Consider the following 22,317-nt stretch of genomic DNA (forward strand, 5'->3'; position numbering starts at 1 on the left):
GACACTAGCCCGAAGTTTGGGAAAGTATTTCATCTGCTCCCTTTGTGATATGACTTTTTTTCCTGGGGGCTGGGGAGGTCCACCTTGCTCCTATGCTGAAATTCCTTCCGCTTCTTTCACAATGAGGAAAGCTCTTGAGAAGGAAAGCAAGGAAATACACACTTATCCACCCCATAGGCCAAATGTCTGATGTCAGACCCTTTCCTCGGGTCATGTTTGGTTAGGAAGACGTAAAAAAATTTGAAAACAGTATATAAGAGGAGGCATCAGAAAGAGAAAATTAGAAGAAAGGGAATTAACTACTATCAAGTGTTTGTTTTTTCATTAAGCAAGAGGTTCAGGGTTCCATCAACTTGGAAGGAATAAAATTCATCTTTATTTTCACTCTTTAACAAGTAGTTGGCATTTTCTTCATTTACAAATGTAGGTTATAAACCCACAATGTGATTTTGCCAACAATAGAAATGAGATATTTTCATGTACAGTGTTACAGTTTGGCAGGTAAATCAAAATATCATTTATGTGCTTCTTTACCTCAAAATTATCGTAGTTATCAGACCCTCAGCTTAATCTCTTAATTTTTAATACATGAACAAAGAAACATATTACATTCTAACACACATTTTAAAAAAACATTTTGATAAATGTATTATAGTGTTACCTTTGTAATTCCACATATTTTGTTTTATGAGTTTCAAGTACTTGTTCTAGGAGCCCATAGCCTTCACTAGACTGCCAACAAATATGGTCAATAAAAGATTGAAATCCCCATGAAAGACATTTTAAATATGTTACTTTAACCATCACAATGATGCTATAAGTTTTCTTGTTCTCCTTTCACTGGTGGAAAAAAAAATTGAGTGTTAAAGAAGTTAAATGACGACCCCAAGCTTATTCTGCCATTACATGGCAGGGCCAGTAATTGAACTCCAATTGGCTTGATGCTCTATTGCTCTTCCAGGCCCTTCACCCTTCTGATTGCTCCACTGGTAAAGGGAAGGAGGATTTGCTCAATGGTCTTGATCAGGCCCCAAGTCTCTGAAAAGGTCTTTTGGTTGCTACAAAGTCAAGAGCCCCAGAAAGCAGGCCAGCAGGATGTTAACAGAATGGGCAGAAAAGTAGACTTTCAGTGCTACCATTATTCCTCCTGGAGTGGCTCAGCTAAATTAAGCCAGGCCTCAGTGACCCTGTCCTCCAGATGTGCTACAGGGACCTAGCCTATGTGCAAAGGCCTGGAGGGTGTATGCATCTCCATTATACAGACAGGTCCCATGGGTTTCGTTGCATACCTCAGCTCAGTGCCAGGGAGCAGGAACACTGTGAGAAGGAGGACTTCCAGGAGAAAAGATGGGGAGGAAATAAATTCTCTCTGAGCTTGTGCCTCTGCCCTGCAGAGTGACTTTACTTCTGTCCAACTATCATCTATTGGGTCCTCTATGCCAATATGGTGTGAAATAGTATTGAGATTCAAAAACAAACAAGTTATAGTTTCTACCAACAGGAGCTCATGACTTAGGGGCAGTTACATGTCCTGTTAGGTACTTCCAGGATTCTTTGATGCTGATTCAGAAATCCCAGGGGAAGGCAGAGATGAAAACAATCTCAGGACAGTGAGATAAGAGGAACAATACATGGAAGTGCAACGAGGATGACAAAGAAGGATTTATACTGGTTACTTAGGAAAACAACAGAAGTGTTCACCAAGGGACTGAAAAGATGGATAGGAGTGTTCCCTACAGGGTGGAGGGTGGAACGGTGAACAGGTGGAGAGAAGACTGTGGACTAAAGCACAGCTTACTTTCAGCAAGAGTGCTGAGTTCAGATTCCCCCAAAGGCAGAGCTGAGGCAAAGACTTGAGTGCAGGTGGTTTATTTGAGAGGATGTGAAATTGAGGGAGTAGTGAAAATAAGACAGAGAAGGAAGAAAAGCCAGCAAAGAGTACATTTCTGAGTTGTTTACCACTGTAGGCAACAAGGGCTCAATGTACCAGGGGCCTGCTATGAAACCACATGGAACTCATCTCAGCACTGTTCCACTGGGGGAATGGGAGGCCAGAGTGGTTGAGATGAGGTTTGCTCTCAGGGAAGTTAACGCCATCATACTTTTCACGTTCTGCCTGCATGCAGCTGAGTAGCCTTTGGTGGTTTCTCATGTCTTTCTCCTCTTATAAAGACACTAGTCCTAATGGATTCGAGCCTCATCCTGATGACCTCATTTAATCTTAATTATCACTGTAAAGGCTCTGTCTCCAAGTCAGTCAGGGCTTCAACATATAAATTTTATAGGAACACAATTCTGTCCATAACAAGTGCCTTTATGAAAGGAAGGGAGAAAGAGCCATTTTAAGGGTCTAATTTCAGGATGTTGCTAGAAATAACTTGTATGTGTATTTACCGGGGCATGTTGCATGAGAAATCTGGCATAAAACACATTTCGTTGTCTGTACAGTGTTGTCTCTGTGAAAACAGTTAAATAAAAATGAAGAAAATTACTTGTCTTTCCATTCTTCCCTAACCCCTTCCTCAAGAGAGATGAGCCATCTTTAAGGAGGCCAGCATCCATCTAACAATTGTTGACTCAGTAAAATCTCTTCTAAACAATAGTGGCACCTTGGGATGAGTGACTTTTGACCTTCCATAGCCTCCAATAACCCTCAAGTCATGCGTGTCAAGTACTCATATACCCTAAATAAAAACAGTGAACCTACTACAAGCGAAGAGTTTCAAAATACATTTCCTCTCACCTCTTTCCAGTTAGAACACCACTTCTAAAGCCGAAACTGACAAAAGACCTCAAGCCATTGCTGTTTTCAATCAACTGTTATTCATAATACCAGTAATACCAGACGAGCATTCTGTTCAGAATAGAAGATTGAATGCATGGAGTTATCTCTCTACAACATTCCATTAAAAGTCCCATTAAAATTCCAATGATTGTAATAAAGAAGTTAAAAAGTGAACAAATCCATATTAGCACCGACAATGGGGAGGACAGAAGAAGCACCAGCAGATCTGAAAGTTTAGCAAAGTAATGGGAGAGAGAAAACATATGGAATCATATCGACAGATAAAACAGGATGAGGAAGCTGTATTGAGAGAGTAACCTCACTTGTGTACATACTCTGCCTCATGCCTTTAAGTGAAACCTGTTAACTGCTATGACCCACAGAACTTACAGACAGCAAGAAGGAAAGAAGGAAATTTCCCAGAACTAAGGTCCCAAACACTTGGGATGAAAGGCCCAGGCCCACCAAATGCTGAGCAAAATGAGAAGGACACATCCTCATAAACCATGAGCACACCAAGCAGGGCTATGCCTCTGGATGTACAGGCTTTACTCTGCGCAAAAGCTCCCAGCCAAAGGGTTGAGTGGAGATCAAATCCAACCCACACTTACCAAGCCAGGCTCTCTGGTGCAGAGCTGCACCCACCTAGAGCAAGGACACTTTTTGTACTCCACATAAATATGTCATAACAGCAACCCTACCGCCAAGGGAAAATAAAGTGTCCTAAATCTTATAGAGAAAGCGAAAAATTTAAAAAACGGATTTTTATAAGAATACCATGGATCATTGCTATGGTAGACATAGAGATGCACTACCTTGATCCCCTTTCAAGGAACACCTGCTACCCGATGCATGGACTACAGTGAGCAGAGCCTCCAGCTGTCAGCTCCTTCAGGGTCAGCTTCAGCCACCTCTCCCAAGGTCATTCCCTTCCCAGAGCAGCCTGTATCTGGTGTCAGAGAGAAGGAGGGCATAAAGGTTCAACCATTTCTGCCCAGCAAATAATATCCATGGGTATTATGCATACCCATGACCCAGAGCACCTGCCATGTCGGCTGAGGCATTTTCAAGCCTGTGTTTCAGTTCAACTGCTCAGTCAGCCCAATCTTGCTGTTGCCGCCTTCCTTTCACAGGTGTTGATCCTTAATAAATATTTTGTTCCCTAAACTCCATCTCTACTTCTGGAGAACTCAACCTGCAGCAAATGGCTTCAATGCTCTGGAGGAAAAGTAACCGTAAATCTCTAGTCTTAGACAAAAACTTGTTACTCAAATGTGAAGGCTGAATATTAAATCATGTGAGACTCAGAGATGTCTCCTTATACACCCTGAGGGGGAAAAAAATACTTGAGGATAAACTTGAGACCAAAAGAAAAACAAAAACAAATAAAACAGAAACCATGAAAACAGTAGGCCAAAGTGACTAGTTTTGAAAATAAAAACCAGAGACAGAACTATGCAATTGGCTGTGACAAATAAAAAGCCCCAACAACATTTAGATCGAGTTCCAAGAAAAAAGTCTCCATTAAAAAGTAGATTCCAGGGCCGGGCGCGGTGGTTCATGCCTGTAATCCCAGCACTTTGGGAGGCCGAGGTGGGCAGATCATGAGGTCAGGAGTTCGAGATCTGTCTGGCCAACATGGTGAAACCCCGCCTCTACTAAAAATACAAAAACTAGCTGGGCATGGTGGCAGGCACTTGTAATCACAGCTACTGGGGAGGCTGAGGCAGGAGAATCATTTGAACCCAGGAGGCGGAGGTTGCAGTGAGCTGAGATCATGCCATTGTATTCCAGCCTGGGTGACAGAGCGAGACTACATCTCAAAAAAAAAAAAAAAAAAAAAAAAAAAAAAAAAAGTAGATTCCAATTTGATAGGTAATGTGATGAAGCAGGAACATCTTTGTAAAATGGTGAAGAATTTGTTTCTTTTCCATAAGAAAAATGAAAGAAAATTAGAAACTTTGGACAAAAACAAAATCTATACAAAAAGCTACAAATATGAAGCAAATTCATATGTCATGTTTTTGAGATGCTGAAGCAAACTGAAATAAGTTTGGGTGTTGAGAAAGCATTGGCTGTAAGCTGCACATGCTCTGTGCTATTTCTCATCTCAGAAGGGCAAGTCACTCTATTTGGTCTTGGGGTGAATAATATATAATCATTATATTGCTAATGACTTGCATTGGTGCTTGATTTTTGAATTCAAGCTACAGGCAAAGCATATTTATAAAATAGAATGAAAAAGTAATAAACCTTGATGATGTTTAATGATGTTGTTGGAAGACTTTGAGAATTGGTAAGAGGAAAAGTGAAAATTCAGGGCTTCTAATTTCATCTTACATTTCTCATAGCAGCAAATCAAATTTGTTTCAAGTTAATGGATCAAGATGTAGCATTTGATGTATACTTTTTACAACTATTAACATACCAATAGAAGAACCCGAACTAATAATATAAAAAATAGGATGAGGGAAGAGAAAATGGGAGAAGACAGTTCTTTATCACTCATAACAGGGAGTCTATAACTGATGTTTAAAATTAATAATTGGAGAAACAAAGATTTCACATACTATTTAGAATTATATAGGTAACCACTGGAAGAATTAAAAGCAGAAAGGGCTCATCTGTGGGAAGTGGGTCAGAGGAGAAAAGGGATGGGACAAGGAACAGTTGATTTTCATTGTATGTGCTTCTGCACTGTTTGCATTTAAATTTCTGTGTGTATAAACATTTCACCTGGCTTCTGTTCTTCCTCTGCCCCTTGGACAACCTCTCATTTGTTACTGTCTTAACTCTGATGTTTCTGTCACCTTCAGAGCAGTTTCCCCTTGTGTCTACCTGTTCCACATAGTGCAATCCCAGGACCCAGGAAAGAGATAGCTCAGCCCTCCATTACCCCCTCTCCTAGGTACCAGCCTCTGCCTGATAGGAGAGGAGTAGCTAACAAAACCTTGCCTCCCTAAGTGGCTTACAAATGCCTTCATTAACTCCCTCTGTGTACCTAGAAAGTCCAGTATAATCATACACGCATGGACCAATTCATAGTTCTCGACTGCACTGAATCAGTTACCAGTCATGTGACGTTAAGCAGGCCACTTTCACCTCTTGGGATCTGTTTCCTCATCTGTAAAATGAACAAGAATAAAATCCAGCCTTCTGTGTCAATGATCAATTTAGTCCACGTGGGTAGACAAGATTTAAGACATACCCCTTGAAAAAGAAATTATAGATCTTAAAGACATTTCAATATTCATCTAATCACAAGTCTGAGTAGGATGTGAAAAAAGGTTTTTGGCAGCTGACTAGACACTGGAGCATTTTTCTGTGTCACCTGGAAGATCCAGCAGAGTAAACTTTGCCTGGACTGAATATTTTTGAGCTGTGTGAGCTGGAACAGGCCACTTCACTAATCTGATTCTCAGTTTCCTCATCCACAAGATGATAGAAACATAACAGATGTTCTTTGGAGACCCTGAGCAAGTCTAGGGATGTGGAAGGCTGCGGAAGGCTGCCTGGCTTGAGCATCTTAACAGCGCCCAAGTTTATGGTTCAGCAGTGCAGCCCCGGCAGTCCAAGAAAGAAACAACACCATCTTCTCTGCCCCCAGAATTTCCAAGATCTCTGCTAAATCTGACCCAAAGAAACAAGATGGTGCTTCTGGCCACTTCTCTTACTGATCCTTTGCCTCATGTCCTGGATTTGCTCTTTATCTGCTTCATTGGATTCAGTGTCTTAGGCCATCCCTCCTTCCCTAGCCACCTTTTCCCAGAAGAGGAGTACCAGTTCTGTGCCCTATGCCCCACAGCCTTGGGTCAGCCACAGGGTCACTCTGGATAGTGAAGTTCTGAATAACCCTACTATTAAATTAAAGTGATTTTTCAAGCAATGAGTTGTAGTAAAATCCCCACCCAAAGAAATCCACAAGTGAAACACCCAATACATAATTGGTATTATCATTAAAGGTTGAAAATCAGTCATCAATGAGGAATGCAACAATTATTTGGAACTAAATCTCCACCAGCACATGGGGACCAGGAAAGCTGTCTGGCACAGCATCAGGGAGTCATTCGGCCTGGAGAGCTCATTGCACTGACAAATGAGAATTAGATCCTAATTATCCCATTGGCAGGTTTCCGATATTTTAATATACTTTCTACCACTGTCACACTGTCAAAACAATCATTTGCCTCCTTAAGCAGGTGTCAGGCATTGTAAAGTGTGTATGTCCTTGTAAAATTAAACAGGAAACTTTCTGAAATTGGAGATGTAATCTGGGGCCCTAATTATAGCATACATAGATACCTAAAGTCAGGAGGCAAAGAGAAAGGAACACTGATTTTCCTTTTTCTCTTTTTTTCCCCTGAGGCACTGAAGTCTGAGTCCACACACAGGTGAAGGTAAATTACGCCACCTGAGTATCAGGGAGGGATTCCAAGCCGTTTTTCCTGCCATCCTTGCCTCTTAGCCAACATTGGTTATAAACATGTATTAATTTTCTCTGCACAATCTGTAGAGTTAACCTATCTTGTCTCCTTTGACTCTCAACAATAGCTCCGTAAGTTCAGCCAGGCAGCACCTTTGTGCCATTTTATAGCTGCACAAACTGACTAATGAGTGGTGCTTCAAGCCGCCTGATTCTAATAAACCTGTTTCTTCTACGTCCCCTCCACCCCCCCCCCCCCACCCCCGCCGCCGTGTAGCTGCCTTTCTTCCTGGTCCAGTAACTAAACCTCTGCTGGAATTACCTCGAGGTTCACGTTCCTGTTGCTGTTTCGTGGACTCTGAGACTCTTGGACAGGTGGTCAGGAGGTGAAACTGGCAGCCACCAACACAGGGCCCCGTGAGCTATTCACAAATAGACATTGTATTAATGCTGAATGACTGATTGACCAAAGTAATAGCACCAGGAAAGGCTCCCCAAATTCAAGGAGTACTGAACTCAACAGATGTTAGTTCGTAGCCTACTATGGACAAAGCATTGTGTACAATGCAGGGGTGTTATACATGAAAGAAGGCAAGATTTCTTCCCTCAAGAAGCTCACATTTGAGTCAAGAAGATAGATATGCTCTTATTTTCTAAAAATTAGGCAACCATTTTGAAGGTATAAAGTGCTCGAAAACCAAACGGGAAAGGACATCATCACAGGTTGGGGTCAAGAGACTTCATAGGAGATAAAATATGAGGCCGGGCGCGTGGTTTACACCTGTAATCCCAGCACTTTGGGAGGCCGAGGCGGGTGGATCACGAGGTCAGGAGATCGAGACCATCCTGGCTAACACGGTGAAACCCCGTCTCTACTAAAAATATAAAAAATTAGCCGGGCGTGGTGGCGGGCGCCTGTAGTCCCCGCTACTCAGGAAGCTAAGGCAGGAGAATGGCATGAACCCGGGATGCAGAGGTTGCAGTGAGCAGAGATCGCGCCACTGCACTCCAGCCTGGGCGACACAGCGAGACTCCATCTCAAAAAAAAAAAAAAAAAAAAAAAAAGAGATGGTTCTTGAAAGACAAGGAAGTTGTTGACAGATGGTAGTGGGGGAAAGGATGGTACTTTCTGCTCAGTGATACACTCTCAATACTGGTTGACCCCTTCTCAGATGGAAACCTTCCCTGGACCCCCAAATCTGGGCACTCCATCGCATACTGAGACTGTATTAGTTTGTTCTCACACTGCTATGAAGAAATACCTGAGACTGGGTAATTTATAAATAAAAGAGGCTTAATTGGCTCACAGTTCCACATTGCTGGGGAAGCCTCAGAAAACCTCCAGTCATGGCAGAAGGTGAAGAAGAAGCAGGCACCTTCCTCACAGGGTGGCAGGACAGAGTAAGTGCAAGCAGCAGAACTGCCAAGTGCTTATAAAACCAACAGATCTCATGAGACTTACTCACTATCACGAGAACAGGATGGGAGAAACCACGCCCATGATCCAATGACCTCCACCTGGTCCTGCCTCTGACACGTGGGGATGATGGGAATTATAATTCAAGATGAGATTTGGATGGGGACACAGTCAAACCATATCAGAGACCAAACCCCTGCTCACCCTTCCCCTTTTCTCTCCCACCCCATGCCTCCCTGGAGGTTTCTTTTGATAGCACCCCCTCAAAAAATCCCATAAACCCAGATCCTTGTGTCAAGCTCTTGGATATAAGCCAGTTACCTAAGAAGCTCTTCTGGAGCTGCATTTCCTCACCTGTAAAACCCTGATAATACATCACAAGTGGCTGTGAAAACAAGGTGATGTAGTTTTAAGTTCCTTGTATAATTCTGGGTTCAATAAATCATGGCAAGGATTTTTTTTCTTCTTTACATTTCAAGAGAATTTCTGGTCTCTGGGATATGAAACAAAGAGACCCCAGGTAGCACCATCAGGTGTCAGCAGCAGCTGAGGGACTAGAGCAACTAGGAGTTTGTAAATGCAGGAGGCGCCAATCAGCCCACGCCTACTGATGGGCCAGTCAGGACTTGTGCCAACCAAGTGCACTTTGTACCCAATTTACCACAACTGGTGGGGGCAGGGAGCTGGAGAGGAGGTGGTGGAAGGGGACAGGTGGCAGGGCAGTGGGGTGCCATTGGAGGAGTTTCAATTCAGTATATTTGTAGGTTAGCGTTGCTGTTTACCTTTTAAGCAGAAGGGCAAACAGATAGTCTACCAGATAAAATCGCTCTCTCTGAAATATTGCTTCCTGACTCCACTGTTTCATCTCCATTGGCTTCTGCTTCCCTCTACCCTCTCCTTTCAGGCTGGCTTCCCACAATCACTGCAGGGTGAGCCCGAGTTGATGAGGGCACCTGGCTTTGGCAGCAGCTCATCAAAGCTAGAGTTCAGGTGTGTTTCTAGGATTTAATTAAGCTAGAAATGAAATCCAGCCCTGCAGTGGCTCATCCTCTTTATTATCACATTTCTTACTGCTTGTCAGGCCACAATGACTGCAGGTCTTGAAAAAGAAGAAGCGGCATGTTTCCTAGGCAGGGCTCAGTTAATCTATTTCACATGGCATTTCAGGTACATTCCTCCATTTTAGGATGGGAGAAAAAGTATTCTCAGGGATCTTTCTGGGGAAAGGGATCACTTTTACATGAATAAAGGTAATTCTTGTTATAATATGTGCCCACTATAAAAAAGTATAAGATATAACAGAATGTTAAAAATCACTTGTAATCTTACCAGCTAGAGATAAACATGGCTAGTATTATATCTCCTTCCTGCCAAGTTACAGGTTGTAAAAGAGAGAGTAAAAGAAAGAGTTCTGATGCTGTAGAAGGGGGGGTTCTGGTTCACTGTATAAACAAATCATATTTTTCACTTATATATATACTCACTAACATTGATTTATATAGGACACTCATTCACTAAGATCAATGTTCCCCCACTTTCAAACAGTGTGGAACTAGAAAAAAAGATCAGGACTTAAAGGAATTTTCATGCTCAGTAATACTAGACTATCACATTGCAGTCATGTTTTCTGTCCTAGTAACATATTCTATAGTCTCTCAGATTAATCAAATGAGATGAGGGGATTTATACACTGCTGTGCACTGAGAAGGGGGCTTAACAATCTCCCAAAGTAATATCATTTGACATTTGTTGCTATTTGACTGCAACTGCAAAAGGTATTCATTTTTTAGCCTGATTTGTGTTCTGCGGGTGGCAGTCCCCTTCATGTCCCCTTAGTGTGGTGAAGTTTGGCAGCTAGATGGCACTGACCTTTCTCACTCTGGAAATGTGATTGCTTTCACAATGATTGCGTAGAAACACTTAGCAAATCTCACACTGTTAACTCCACCCCACACCCGCAATGTTGGCATTTTCTGACTGTCAGGTGGCATTAGCCAGCTGAAAACTCACTAAGATGAGGAAGCTGTGCTGAGTTAATAACTTCTGAGATAGTCATTTAGTCAGTTTTCATGAAATTAATAAGTTCCACCTTGGCAATGGTAAAAGTCACAAAATCATGAACTGTCAAAGATGGAAGGAACCTTCAAGAACTCGTAGTTCAACACCTTCATTTTACAAGTAAAGGGAAATGAGCACTAAAAAAAGGAAGGGATTTTTGTTTTTAAGATCGTAGAGCTAGGATGGAGTAGTGGTTTTCAACCTGTGTGGTGACAGCTTAGATCTAAATGGAATTCTGCATGCATAACTGCAATATATATGAAACATCTCAGAAAGAAGCACCGTGATTGAAGCAGGGTGGGAATCCATAACCTCACCCACTCCTTGTCCATCTCAGCTCTCAGATACCTTGGGGAAGCCCTGAGTCTCCATGAGGCACAGATCAAACCACTTTCTTATGGCATGCTGGCTTCAGTTACATTTCTCACACCTCCAAATGCTCTTTATGTGAACAAATAATCTCTTTTAGACTGATAAATAATTCCAAATGTAAAAGTGTGATCTCAGTTCTCTCATTTGCTAAAGGAAGACAATAATGATCTCTGCCACAGCAAAGGAAATATCCATTAGAAGTTGAAAAGATAATGAAAATGAGTAGACATTGTGATCTCCTCCCTCAGCATCAATTTCAGCCCTGGTCCACTGTAGAACTGCTATGTGGTTTAGGCAGGCACTGACGCCAGCTCCAGCTTCAAGGTGGTCCAGCACTGGTCTAAAGCAGTTAGCTATAGGTAACCACTGAATTGGTAAATGTCAATAGTAGGGTAACTATATGATAGTTAATTTTGTAAGTCAAGTTGACCGGGCAACAAAGATGCCCAGGTATTTGGTTAAATGTTTTTTCTGAATATGTCATTTCTGGATGATAGTAACATTTGAATCAGGAGACTGAGCTCTCATCCAACCTGATGAAAACTTAAATAAAATAAAAGGATGAGTAAGAAAGAATTTTTTTGTGTCTCTGACTGTCTTCAAGCTGGGACATTGGTCTTCTCCTGCCTTTAGACATGGACTCAGACTGGAACTTACACCATTGACTCTCCTGGTTTTCAGAGTTAGACTTGAAATGGAACTTACAGCATCAGCTTTCCTGGTTCTCAGGCCTTTCGTCTCAAAATTTAACTATACCATCAGCCTCTTGCGTCTGGACTTCTCAGCCTCCATAATCATATTATGAACCAATTCTTTTTTTTTTTTTTTTTTTTGAGACAGAGTCTCGCTTTGTCTCCCAGGCTGGAGTGCAGTGGCGCGATCTCGGCTCACTGAAAGCTCCACCTCCCGGGTTCATGTCATTCTCCTGTCTCAGCCTCCCGAGTAGCTGGGACTACAGGCACCCGCCACCACGCCCAGCTAATTTTTTTTTGTATTTTTAATAGAGATGGGGTTTCACTGTGTCAGCCAGGATGGTCTCAATCTCCTGATCTCGTGATCCACCCGCCTTGGCCTCCCAAAGTGCTGGGATTATAGGTGTGAGCCACTGCACCCAGCTGAGCCAATTCTTTATAGTAAATCTAGATAGATAGATAGATAGATAGACAGATAGATACATAGATACATAGAGACATATAGGGATATATACATGCATATACGTTCTATTGGTTCTGTTTCTCTGGAGAATGCAGATTGATTCAAGGAACAAACACGGACCTTAGTTTGGGCAAATCAAACAAGGTTTACTAATTGAAAAAGTACAGAAGGAAGTCAGAGTGGTAAAAATATACAGCAGAGAGGTCAATGCTGCTCTCCAAAGGAGTTATAAAATTCCCAACAATAGACCCACAGTTGCAAATGATAACTTTGAGAGAGGATCACATTAGACTTTCTAGACACCCAACTATCCCCCTCTGTTAATAAGGGTGGACTTGCCCTGCATGTTAGGTAGCCTGAATAAATATTGGGATGCCCTCATTTGGGTCAGTTGCACACCATTACTTTTGGGACTATACGATTTATGATAAAACTAAAGTTGGTGTCCAGCTCAGTACAATATACTTGGACATAAACATAGCCTTATTCATCATTCTCAGCCTTCCCAAGCTAATATAGCCTGGTCCAGTGACTCTCTGAAGTAAAGATTGTCAAATCAAAAGGAGCTCTGTTACCCAGGTATCCTTACCAGTCAGCTAATAATGTCCATGCAATAGAGTTGTTATAAGGTATAAATAAAATACTGGGGGTGTGGCCAAGATGACTGACTAGAAGCAGTGGCAATCAAAGGCTCCCATCTAAAAGAACCAAAACAGCATCCAAATCTTGCACTGGCAACTGAGGTTATCCAAGTTCTATCATCAGGATTGACTAGGTGGCTGGTGTGACCCACGGAGAGGAAGGAATAGCAGTGTGGTGAGGTGGCCCACCTGAAAGCTACATGGGGGAGGTGAGCCCCCAGCCAAGAGAGGCCGTGAGTGAGCGTGCTACGCAACCTGGGAAGCCATGCTTTTTCCATGGAACTGTGCAACCCACAGATCAGAATATCCCACTTGTGACCCCATACTACCATGGCCTAGGATCCCAACCACGGAGCCGCACAAATTCTCAACAGCTAGAATCTATCTAAGCCTGTTGCATTCCCGGGCAGAGGGGCAGCCATCACCACAGCTGTGGCTGCCTGCTGTCTAAGCCATCTGAGCTTCTTGCGGGAGGGGCGGCAGCCAACACTGGGACTGCTAGTTGGCCAGGCGCGGTGGCTCACGCCTGTAATCCCAGCACTTTGGGAGGCCGAGGCGGGCGGATCACGAGGTCAGGAGATCAAAACCATCCTGGCTAACACGGTGAAACCCCGTCTCTACTAAAAATACAAAAAAATTAGCTGGGCGTGATGGCGGGCACCTGTAGTCCCAGCTACTCGGGAGGCTGAGGCAGGAGAATGGCGTGAACCTGGGATGTGGAGCTTGCAGTGAAGCGAGATGGCGCCACTGCACTCCAGCCTGGGTGACAGAGCAAGACTCCGTCTCAAAAAAAAAAATTTAAAAAAATCTGCTACAACATCTGTCTAACATTGTACTGAAAGTCAGAGCCAGTGTAATTAGATGAAAAATTAAAAGACATCCATATTGGGACAGGAAAATTAAAATTGTCTCTACTTGCAGATGGCATGATTTATATACAAAAAATCCTAAATAATTCACTAAGAAACTACTACATTTAAGTAGGCAGAACCAAAAAATCAATACACAATGATCAATTCTATCTCTATACACTTACAATGAGCAATCAAAAATGAAATAAAGAAGCAATTTCATTTACAATAGCATCAAAAAGAAAAATACTTAATACATTTAACAAAAAGTGTAAATCTTATACTCTGAAAGCTAAAAAGTACTGTTGAAAGAAACTGAAAAAGTCATAAATAAATGGAAAGACATGCCATGTTCACAGATTAGAAGACTATTTGTCTAAGATGATAATAAATATTCCCAAAATTGATCTACAAGATTCAATGTAATCTTCATTAAAGTCCCAGATGACTTCTTTGCAGAAATTGAGTAACTGATCCTAAAAGTCAAGGGACTTAGAGTAGCCAAAACAACCGTTAAAAAGAACAAATTAGGTGGAGCCAGTTTCAAAAGTTTCTACAAAGCTATAGTAATCAGTATAGCCTGGTACTGCCACGAAGATGTCACATAGTTCAATCAGATAAGATTTAGAGTCTAGACATAAACCCTTTGGTTAACAGTCAATTGATTTTCTTTTCTATATATATTTTAAGCAGAAAAGGATTTATTTTTATTTTTATTTTTTTACTTTAAGTTCTGGGATACGTGTGCAGAATGTGCAGGTTTGTTACATAGGTATACGTGTGCCATGTGGTTTGCTGCACCTATTGACCTGTCCTCTAAATTCCCTCAGTCAGTTGATTTTCTTTCTTTTTTTTTTTTTTTTTTGAGACAGAGTCTCGCTCTGTCCCCCAGGCTGGAGTGCAATCTTGGCTCACTGCAAGCTCCGCCTCCCGGGTTCACGCCATTCTCCTGCCTCAGCCTCTCAAGTAGCTGGGACTACAGGTGCCCGCCACCACGTCCGGCTAATTTTTTGTATTTTTAGTAGAGACAGGGTTTCACCGTGTTGGCCAGGCTGGTCTTGAACTCCTGACCTCAAGTGATCCTCCCACCTCGGCCTCCCAAAGTGTAGGATTACAGGTGTGAGCTACTGCACCCGGCCAAAAAAATAGTCTGTTAAAGCTTCTTAAGGTAAATCCAGTTTAAAAACTAGAAAGATAAAATAATGTTTCCTTCTGACCTAATTTAAAAGGACCCAGGAAACAAAGTCCTCTACAGAAATCACAGGGGGTGATACAGAGGGAAAGAAAGCAAATGAAGGAAGTAATAAAGGTACATCCAAGGCAGGATGGACGTGCAGGCATCATAGTCACAGCCATAAACCAGATGAACTCCTCAGAAAAGTGGAAGGCTCGTAATCTTGATTCGAAAACAAAACTCAGTGACTCAGCGTCCACAAAACACGGCTAAAACCAAAAATACAGGCACACAACCTAAAAGGAGGTGTCAAGGACTGCCCTACTGTTACTCCGCTGACCATCAGATAAAGTAGGTGGTTAGTTAAAAGACCGAGTGCCAGTGAAAGGAAGCAGCTGGCTTTTCGGAACCAGTGCTTTCGGGATCTGTTTAACTGTCCTCCCACGGTCCTTGAGGCCTCATAACAAACCTACACGGGCTATGGTATCACAGATCGCCCTGCCCAGGCTGCCCAGGGGTCTGCTAGGCTTGTAGTGGTGAGTGGGTGCTTCCCTGCCTTCCACTGCTCCTAGGAAATTGCTGCAGTCAAGGGCTTTCTGGAATGAAAATGTTGCAGCTGAGCCTGAAAGCCACAGCAAGGTGTGACATTCTTATTAGTTTTTCTTAACTTACAAAAATGACACATGAACATGCTTTTTTAAAATTTTTCAAATTATAGAGGAATTTATACAGTAAAAAATGAAAGTCCTCTTGTCCCCAACCATCCCGCTGGGCAAACAACACAAAACCGCAAAGTCCTTTCTTCCAGAGCTAACTACTATTAATAGTTTGATGTCCATCAGCCTGGACATTATTTTCTACACATATTCAAACATATGTATGTAGGAAGTAGGCGGGATGTGGGGCAAATCATTTAATCCCTCTGTATGTCAGTTTTCTGAGCCTTAAAATGGGGGCAATGATATTACTCTCATAGGGTTATTGTGAGGGTTATATGAGTTAAGATATTTGGTATTCTCAGAATAGTGTCTGGCCTATAGTGGGCACCCAGTTTCAGCTGTTGTGATTCATTCCTTATTTCTCGTTCACAGAAGCTTAGCATTCTATTGTAGAGATGATAACGATTCTGAGAGGTTTCACTGACTCCTACCTGGATAGTTAAGAACATACACACGGCCGGGTGTGGTGGCTCATGCCTACAATCCCAGCTACTTGGGAGACTGAGGCAGGAGGATTGCTTGAACCTGGGAGGAGGAGGTTGCAGTGAGCTGAGATCACACCACTGCACTCCAGCCTGGACAACAGAGCAAGACTCTATTCTGTCTCAAAAAAAAAAAAAAAAAAGAACATACTCACTATTAGCTCTCCTGAAATTAATGGGTTGGGGACCCTGGCCCAGAACTCAGAACCCTGCCTCTGGTCTGGTATTGTTTTCACCACACCACAGGGTCCCCCACAATTCCCCCTTAAAAGCTGAAACTGTCTGGATGGAGCAGCTGGTCCTACTCCTTGTCCCTCAGTGACGTCCAGCTCCGTTGTCTTATTTGCACCCTAGGCTGTCTCTGGTGGGTTTCTGGGGCAGGGGGCTCTAGGCCAGGTGAGCCCTCCTCTTGCTGCAGTCTCTGGACGTGCCCCTCCTGGTCCTCGAGGTTTGGCTTCCCCTTCCACACAGTGAGTCACTACATGTTGAGACTGCCGGCCTGAGGATTCCCGGCTGCTCTGGGTTTAGCTCAGGCTAATGGGCACGATGGAAACAGCTGGGAGCTGGGAGTGAGGTCTGGTTGCTTATGAGGCTACAGACATTTCCAGAGCTCCTTCTACATGCCAGGCACTGTGCCAGCCAGTTAGGGACACCTCCATAATGTAGGTGTGAGACTTGGTCATGGCTTCTGGAGGTCCCCGTCCATGTGAACCAACCGCCCAGAGCTCCTGGATCCAGCGGCTCTTCAGAGGGGCATCAGGGGAGCAGAGCAGAGCAGGCTGGTAAGAGGCAGCTCCTAAGTGCTGACACCTGGTTCCTCTCCTCCTCCCTGCCTGGCCTCTGGGCCTGCTGCCATCTCTCTTTCCCTGGCAGGTTTGTGGAATTGCTGAGAATGCTGGGTCAAGGCCAGGCTGAGGCCTTTTCTGCCACCCTGGGAACTCTTCACGTACCTTCAAGCACCTTTGCAGACTCAGGGCTCAGAGCTGGAAAAGTCTTGAGGGTCATTCATCCTACTCATTTAACAGGTCAAGAGAGAAAATTTGGTGAGACAAGGGCAGGGGCACAAGCACTTAATAAGCATAATCAGAGTGCCATTCACCAGGGGAAGAGCATCAGGCTTCTTTATTCTGTCCCTATGACAAGCCTGAGGCTTGTTTTATTTTTCCCACTTAAAGGATGAGGAACCTGAAGCTTGAAGGAGTCAAGTGAGTTGCTCGAGGTCATCAGGAAGCAGAGTAGCCTAACGTGTACTCACCTCTTCCTTACTATAGGGAGCCCAAGACATCTACACAACCCACTGGTCTCTTCCTTTACAAGTGCCTCTTCCAAATGCAGGAGAGCTGTCCCTCCAGTCAGCCACAGGCCCATGGCCAGACACAGACTGGATGACAGAAACTTTCCCAGCCAACCACCTTGGCAATGTCTGTTTTCCCTTCAGAAGCATCATTCCCTCTGGAACCCCATTCCGGAGGAAGGCAGCATGGCAGGAGCAAGGGCCTTCCTCAGGTCCTAGTTTTGTTGGGTGTTCAGCAAGGTGTGGGGATTTAGTGTGTGGTGCAGGGGAAGGCAAGTTGGGGTTGGCCCAGGAGAGCTCTGGCTAGAGCCTGTCTGTCCCTGTGCTATGCTGAAAGCCCAGCTGCTCCCCAGAACCAGCAGCCCCAGTCCCCAAAGGCCAGAGCTGAGTCACTTTCTTCAGTCTGCCCTGGATGACTAGTTCCTTGCCTCCCAGCTTTTTCCGCATTCACCTTCTCACAGATCATGTGTTGGACTCCTTCTGCTTACTGATAACAGTTTTCCCAGAAGTTCCTGAGAATCGTTAAACCTTAATACTGTCAGCGCTGGCAGCCCTATCCCATCTCACATGATGAGTGGCAAAAGATATGATTCCCTTTGGTATTCCTGAAAGCAGATAGCGCAAATATGCAAGAGCACTCGAAAATCTACACAGTATTGTTAAGCTATATAAGCACAGCGTTACATACACATATGTGCCCACAGAATGAAACAGCAATGTGACAAATGCTTTCGAATCACTCAGAAGGCAAAGTTCCTTAAGGGTTCTACAAATTGCCAAGTTTCTTGGGGTCTGAGCATCTAAGATCTGCATATTAACACCTGCTATGGTTTGAGTTTGACCCCACCAAAACTCATGTTGAAATTTGATCCCCAACGTGGCAGTTTTGGGAGCAGATGGCTAATGGGAGGTGTTTGGGTCATAAGGACAGATTCCTCCCAAATGGCTTGGTGCCATTTTCGCGGTAGTGAGTTCTCACTCTAGCAAGACTGGATTCTCTCAGGAACGGATTAGATCCACAAGAGTGGGTTGTTACAAAGCCAGGATGTCCCTTGAGTTTGGCCTCTTCACATGTGTCTGCTTCCCCTTTGACTTTCTCTGCAATGTTATAGTGTAGCACAAAAGCCCTTACCAGAAGGCAGTGCCATGCCCTTAAACTTCCCGGCCTGCAAAACTGTGAGCTAAATAAACCCCTTTATTTGTAAATCACTCAGTCCCAAGTATTCTGTTATAGCAACACAAAATGGACTAAGCCAGTACCCAGTCCAAGTCATTTTATGCCACATGGATTTGCACCTACTTGGAGAGGTCAGAACCAATAAGGAACATTCTACACACACCACCCTTACTTCTTCCTGGTGATTTGTTAAAGTTTGGTGAATGGGCCGGGTGCGGTGGCTCTTGCCTGTAATTCTAGCACTTTGGGAGGCCGAGGCGAGTAGATTGCCTGAGCTCAAGAGACCAGCCAGGGCAACATAGTGAAACCCAGTATCTACTAAAATACAAAAAAATTAGCCAGGCGTGGTGGTGTGTGCCTGTAATCCTGGCTACTCAGGAGGCTGAGACAGGAGAATCTCTTGGATCTGGGATGTGGAGGTTGCAGTGAGCTGAGATCACGCCACTGCACTCCAGCCTGGGCGACAGAATGAGATCCTGTCTCCAAAAAAAAAAAAAAAAAAGGTTTGGTGAATGGCCTTTCTTTAGAGTTGCAGGGGCTCCTGCCCTAAACTTCTCAGTGAAACAGATCTCAATGGTCTTATGCTCCTCCCTCTCCCCCATTGTTTCTTTTGCTGTTTCATTGCTGACAGTGTTCAACAGCAATATGCCCCATCTTTATATATCGTAAGAAACACTAATTCTAGGTTATTACAAGCAGAAATATTTTTGTCCTGAATAACATTGTTACTGGGCCAAAAGATAGATCAGGAGTCCCAGACTTTAGTTTCCTGAAATTGCCAGGTCAGGCACAAGGGGAAGGGGCTCCTGGATATTGACTAACTTGGGTGGGCCTAGCCAGGAGAAAGATAGCAACATGTGCTCTGTACTTTCTGGGAAGATCCCTGAAGCCATCACGGAGGCTCCCCAACTTCCGAGTCGCCTATCTGTTGCTGTGGCAGTGGGAATGGATTACTTAAGGAGAGGGCACTTTGCTCTCTGTAGGTGGGCAAGTTTCCCGGGCTCTCTGTTTTGCCTCCCTCTGGCTTCTTCCTCCTGGGCCCTCTGCTGTGTGCCACAGGGGATCAGGGATTCTCATCTTCCTGAGGACCAGTGGGGAAGAGTGAACATGGCAGCCTCAAGGTTAGCTGAAGCTGCCATTTGCCCAGCCTCTTCCATCCCAACCATGTCAGTGAGCCCAGGTCTGGTTAACTATTGCAGAATGCCTGTAGTAGGGAACTCTGGAAGTGTATTGGGCTGAGGTGGGATTTTCCCTCCCCACAATGCCCTGAGCAATGGAAGTGGTGAGGGGTGAGCGAGTCAGGCTGCTGAATTCTGTTGGCATTCCCTCCTTGTGTAAAATGGGGTGTTGGGGTGGGGCAGCCTCTGCTTGGATTTGGTTGTAAGATAAACCTGGAGGAGAAAAAAAAAGTTTGGTGAACGGTACCCAGTGTCCCCTGGAATTGAGGTGGAGGGACGGGGTAGGGAAGGCTTCCAGTATAAGTTCATTGATGGCGGCTCACTGCTCCACAGTAGCTGGGCCACAGTTCCCTGTGAATTCTGTGCCAGTCCTTTACAGGAGCTGTTTGTTGTCATGTCCTGGCAGTAGTCCCAGAGCTAAAAGGGACCACCAATTTTACTAATAAGGAAACTGGGGCCTGGAAAATGGCAATCTGTCCAAGTTTATGGGTCTAGGCCCCTGCTTTCCCAAGGGTGGCCTGAAGCCAGAGAGCCAGTGGCTTCATGGCCTCATCCTCAGCAGCCCCTGTGAGCTACCCAAGACCCCAGAGTCCTCCCACATCACACAAGGCCTGGGGCACCCCCAGAGATTTTCTTAGACAGTCTGAATGTCAATACTGTGTTTTCTTGTCTAACCAGGTCACCTTAAAAATGTGTGTACCCTTAACCCCAGCTATTTTCATTCTAAAATATAACTTCAAGAAATAACATATTAATAACTTCAGGAAATAATGAGTCAGGAGAACAAAAATATGCAACAAGGGTTGTCATTGCAACTTTATTATTAGAGCAAAACTCTGTAAACTATCCAAACACTCAAAATACTGCAATTTGCTTTATAAATGATAGTCTATCCACACAATGGGATGTGGTGATTTAAAATAATGATGTGTATAATTATTGACATAGAAAGAAATTTAGCCATTTATTAAATGAAAACAAGTATGTTTGTAAAATGGTATCCAGAAGACAAAGGACCCAGTTTCTTCAACATAACAGTGGCATGTGAACCAAAATGTAGGGGGAACTATAATAAAGAGGCTTAAGAAAGAAGAAAAAATAAAAAATAAAACAGGCTTAATATATCAACCGCATGCAATATGTTTAGATCCTGATTCCAGAAAAGCAAGTGTAAAAAAGTAAAGTTTTGGCTGGGCATGGTGGCTCATGCCTGTAATCTCAGTGCTTTGGGAAACTGAGGCAGGAAGATTGCTTGAGGCCAGGAATTCAAGAACACTCTGGGCCACATAGTGAGACCTTTTTAAATTTTTTTCTCTACAAAAAGTAGCCAGGCATGGTGGTGCATGCCTATAATCCCAGCTACTCCAGAGGCTGAGACAGGAGGATCACTTGAACCCAGGAGTTTGATATTGCAGTGAGCTCTGATCAAGACCCTGTCTTTGGGGGAAAAAAAAGTAATTTTTTCTGTTTTTTAGATGAGGGAAAATATGGCATGGATTGACGGGGTATTAGCTATTATGAAATTATTATTAGTTTTGTCAGGTATAGTAATGGGAATTATTTAATAATTGTGATTTTTTTAAAGTCCTCGTCTGTTTATGAGTAAAATGAAAAAAGTAAAGTACACTCCCATTAATGTTTACAAATGCATGCACATGTTTGATATGTATAGATTCATGGAAAGGGGCTGCAGGAAGCCCAGGAATTCATTCCTACCACCACCACAACCAACTAAGTGCTCAATCAATATTGATTGACTCAGTGAATCAGTCCCGGAACCAAGAATGTGAATTCCCCACAAGCTCCCCGACCTTGGGAGGCCCAGCAGCCTCTGTGTGCTCTGTCACCAGTGCCTGGCACTTGATTCACGCTTTCAGTCAACACTGAGGTCCCCACCCAGTCAGCTCCACGAGTGCTAGGGAGTGAAGACGTGTCAGGGCGGAGAGCTGGGAAGGACCCCACAGGCAACCTGGAAGCAGCGGACTGCTCCATGGACCCTAAAGGAGAAAGAGGACATGTTGGCTCCTCTAATTCCCTCTTGCAGCCCACCTCTGGCTACAGCAGATGCTGGTGTGAAGTCACCTCTGCACTCAGTCACTGGTTCTCTGACATCTTCCCCACCCAGTCTCCCTTGTGTAGCACAGTCCTGCCTCCTCCCTCCTGACTCCTATTGTGTGTGCAGGAGGCCTGTTGGGGAGTTGGTGGAGCCAGAGGTTAGGAGAAAGAGAGGCAAATAGGATTTATGGGATATTTGCCTTTCCTAAGAACTGTCCTCTGCTCATGATGTCAACCTAGGTTCAAGGTACAGAGGCCAAATAACAGGGAAGCAATGCTCAGAAATTAGCAGCCAGCTGGGACAGAGGCTGGGTCTGGCTACAGGCGGTGGGGCCTGGTCAGGGTCATCTCTGGGTGGCCTCCTCCACACACTGACTTCTACCTAGGGCTCAGGGAGGAGGAGGATGAAGGGGCAGCAGTGAAATGGCTTCACGAGGCATGCATAGGCTGCAGGAAGTGCCTCCAAGACACCAGCAGACATTCTCTGGTAGAGCCTCTGCCCCTCACTCCCAGCTTCCTTCTCTCTTAAAGCCCTG

The 22,317-nt window shown here is 44.0% G+C and overlaps 2 annotated features.

Annotated features, from left to right (window-relative positions):
- Window positions 3,541-3,745: a silencer, noted in NCBI's record as "fragment chr15:45098626-45098830 (GRCh37/hg19 assembly coordinates)". NCBI's record gives its function as "represses an EF-1alpha promoter that drives an FKBP-Casp9 reporter gene in an ReSE screen in phorbol 12-myristate 13-acetate-treated (for megakaryocytic differentiation) K562 erythroleukemia cells {active_cell/tissue: K562(+PMA)}" and the evidence as "EXISTENCE:reporter gene assay evidence [ECO:0000049][PMID:32094911]".
- Window positions 17,224-17,518: a silencer, noted in NCBI's record as "tiled region #4183; K562 Repressive DNase matched - State 5:Enh". NCBI's record gives its function as "represses a minimal TATA promoter and a strong SV40 promoter by Sharpr-MPRA in K562 cells {active_cell/tissue: K562}" and the evidence as "EXISTENCE:reporter gene assay evidence [ECO:0000049][PMID:27701403]".

This window comes from Homo sapiens, chromosome 15 (genome assembly GCF_000001405.40).
Source record: "Homo sapiens chromosome 15, GRCh38.p14 Primary Assembly".
Lineage (NCBI taxonomy): Eukaryota > Metazoa > Chordata > Mammalia > Primates > Hominidae > Homo > Homo sapiens.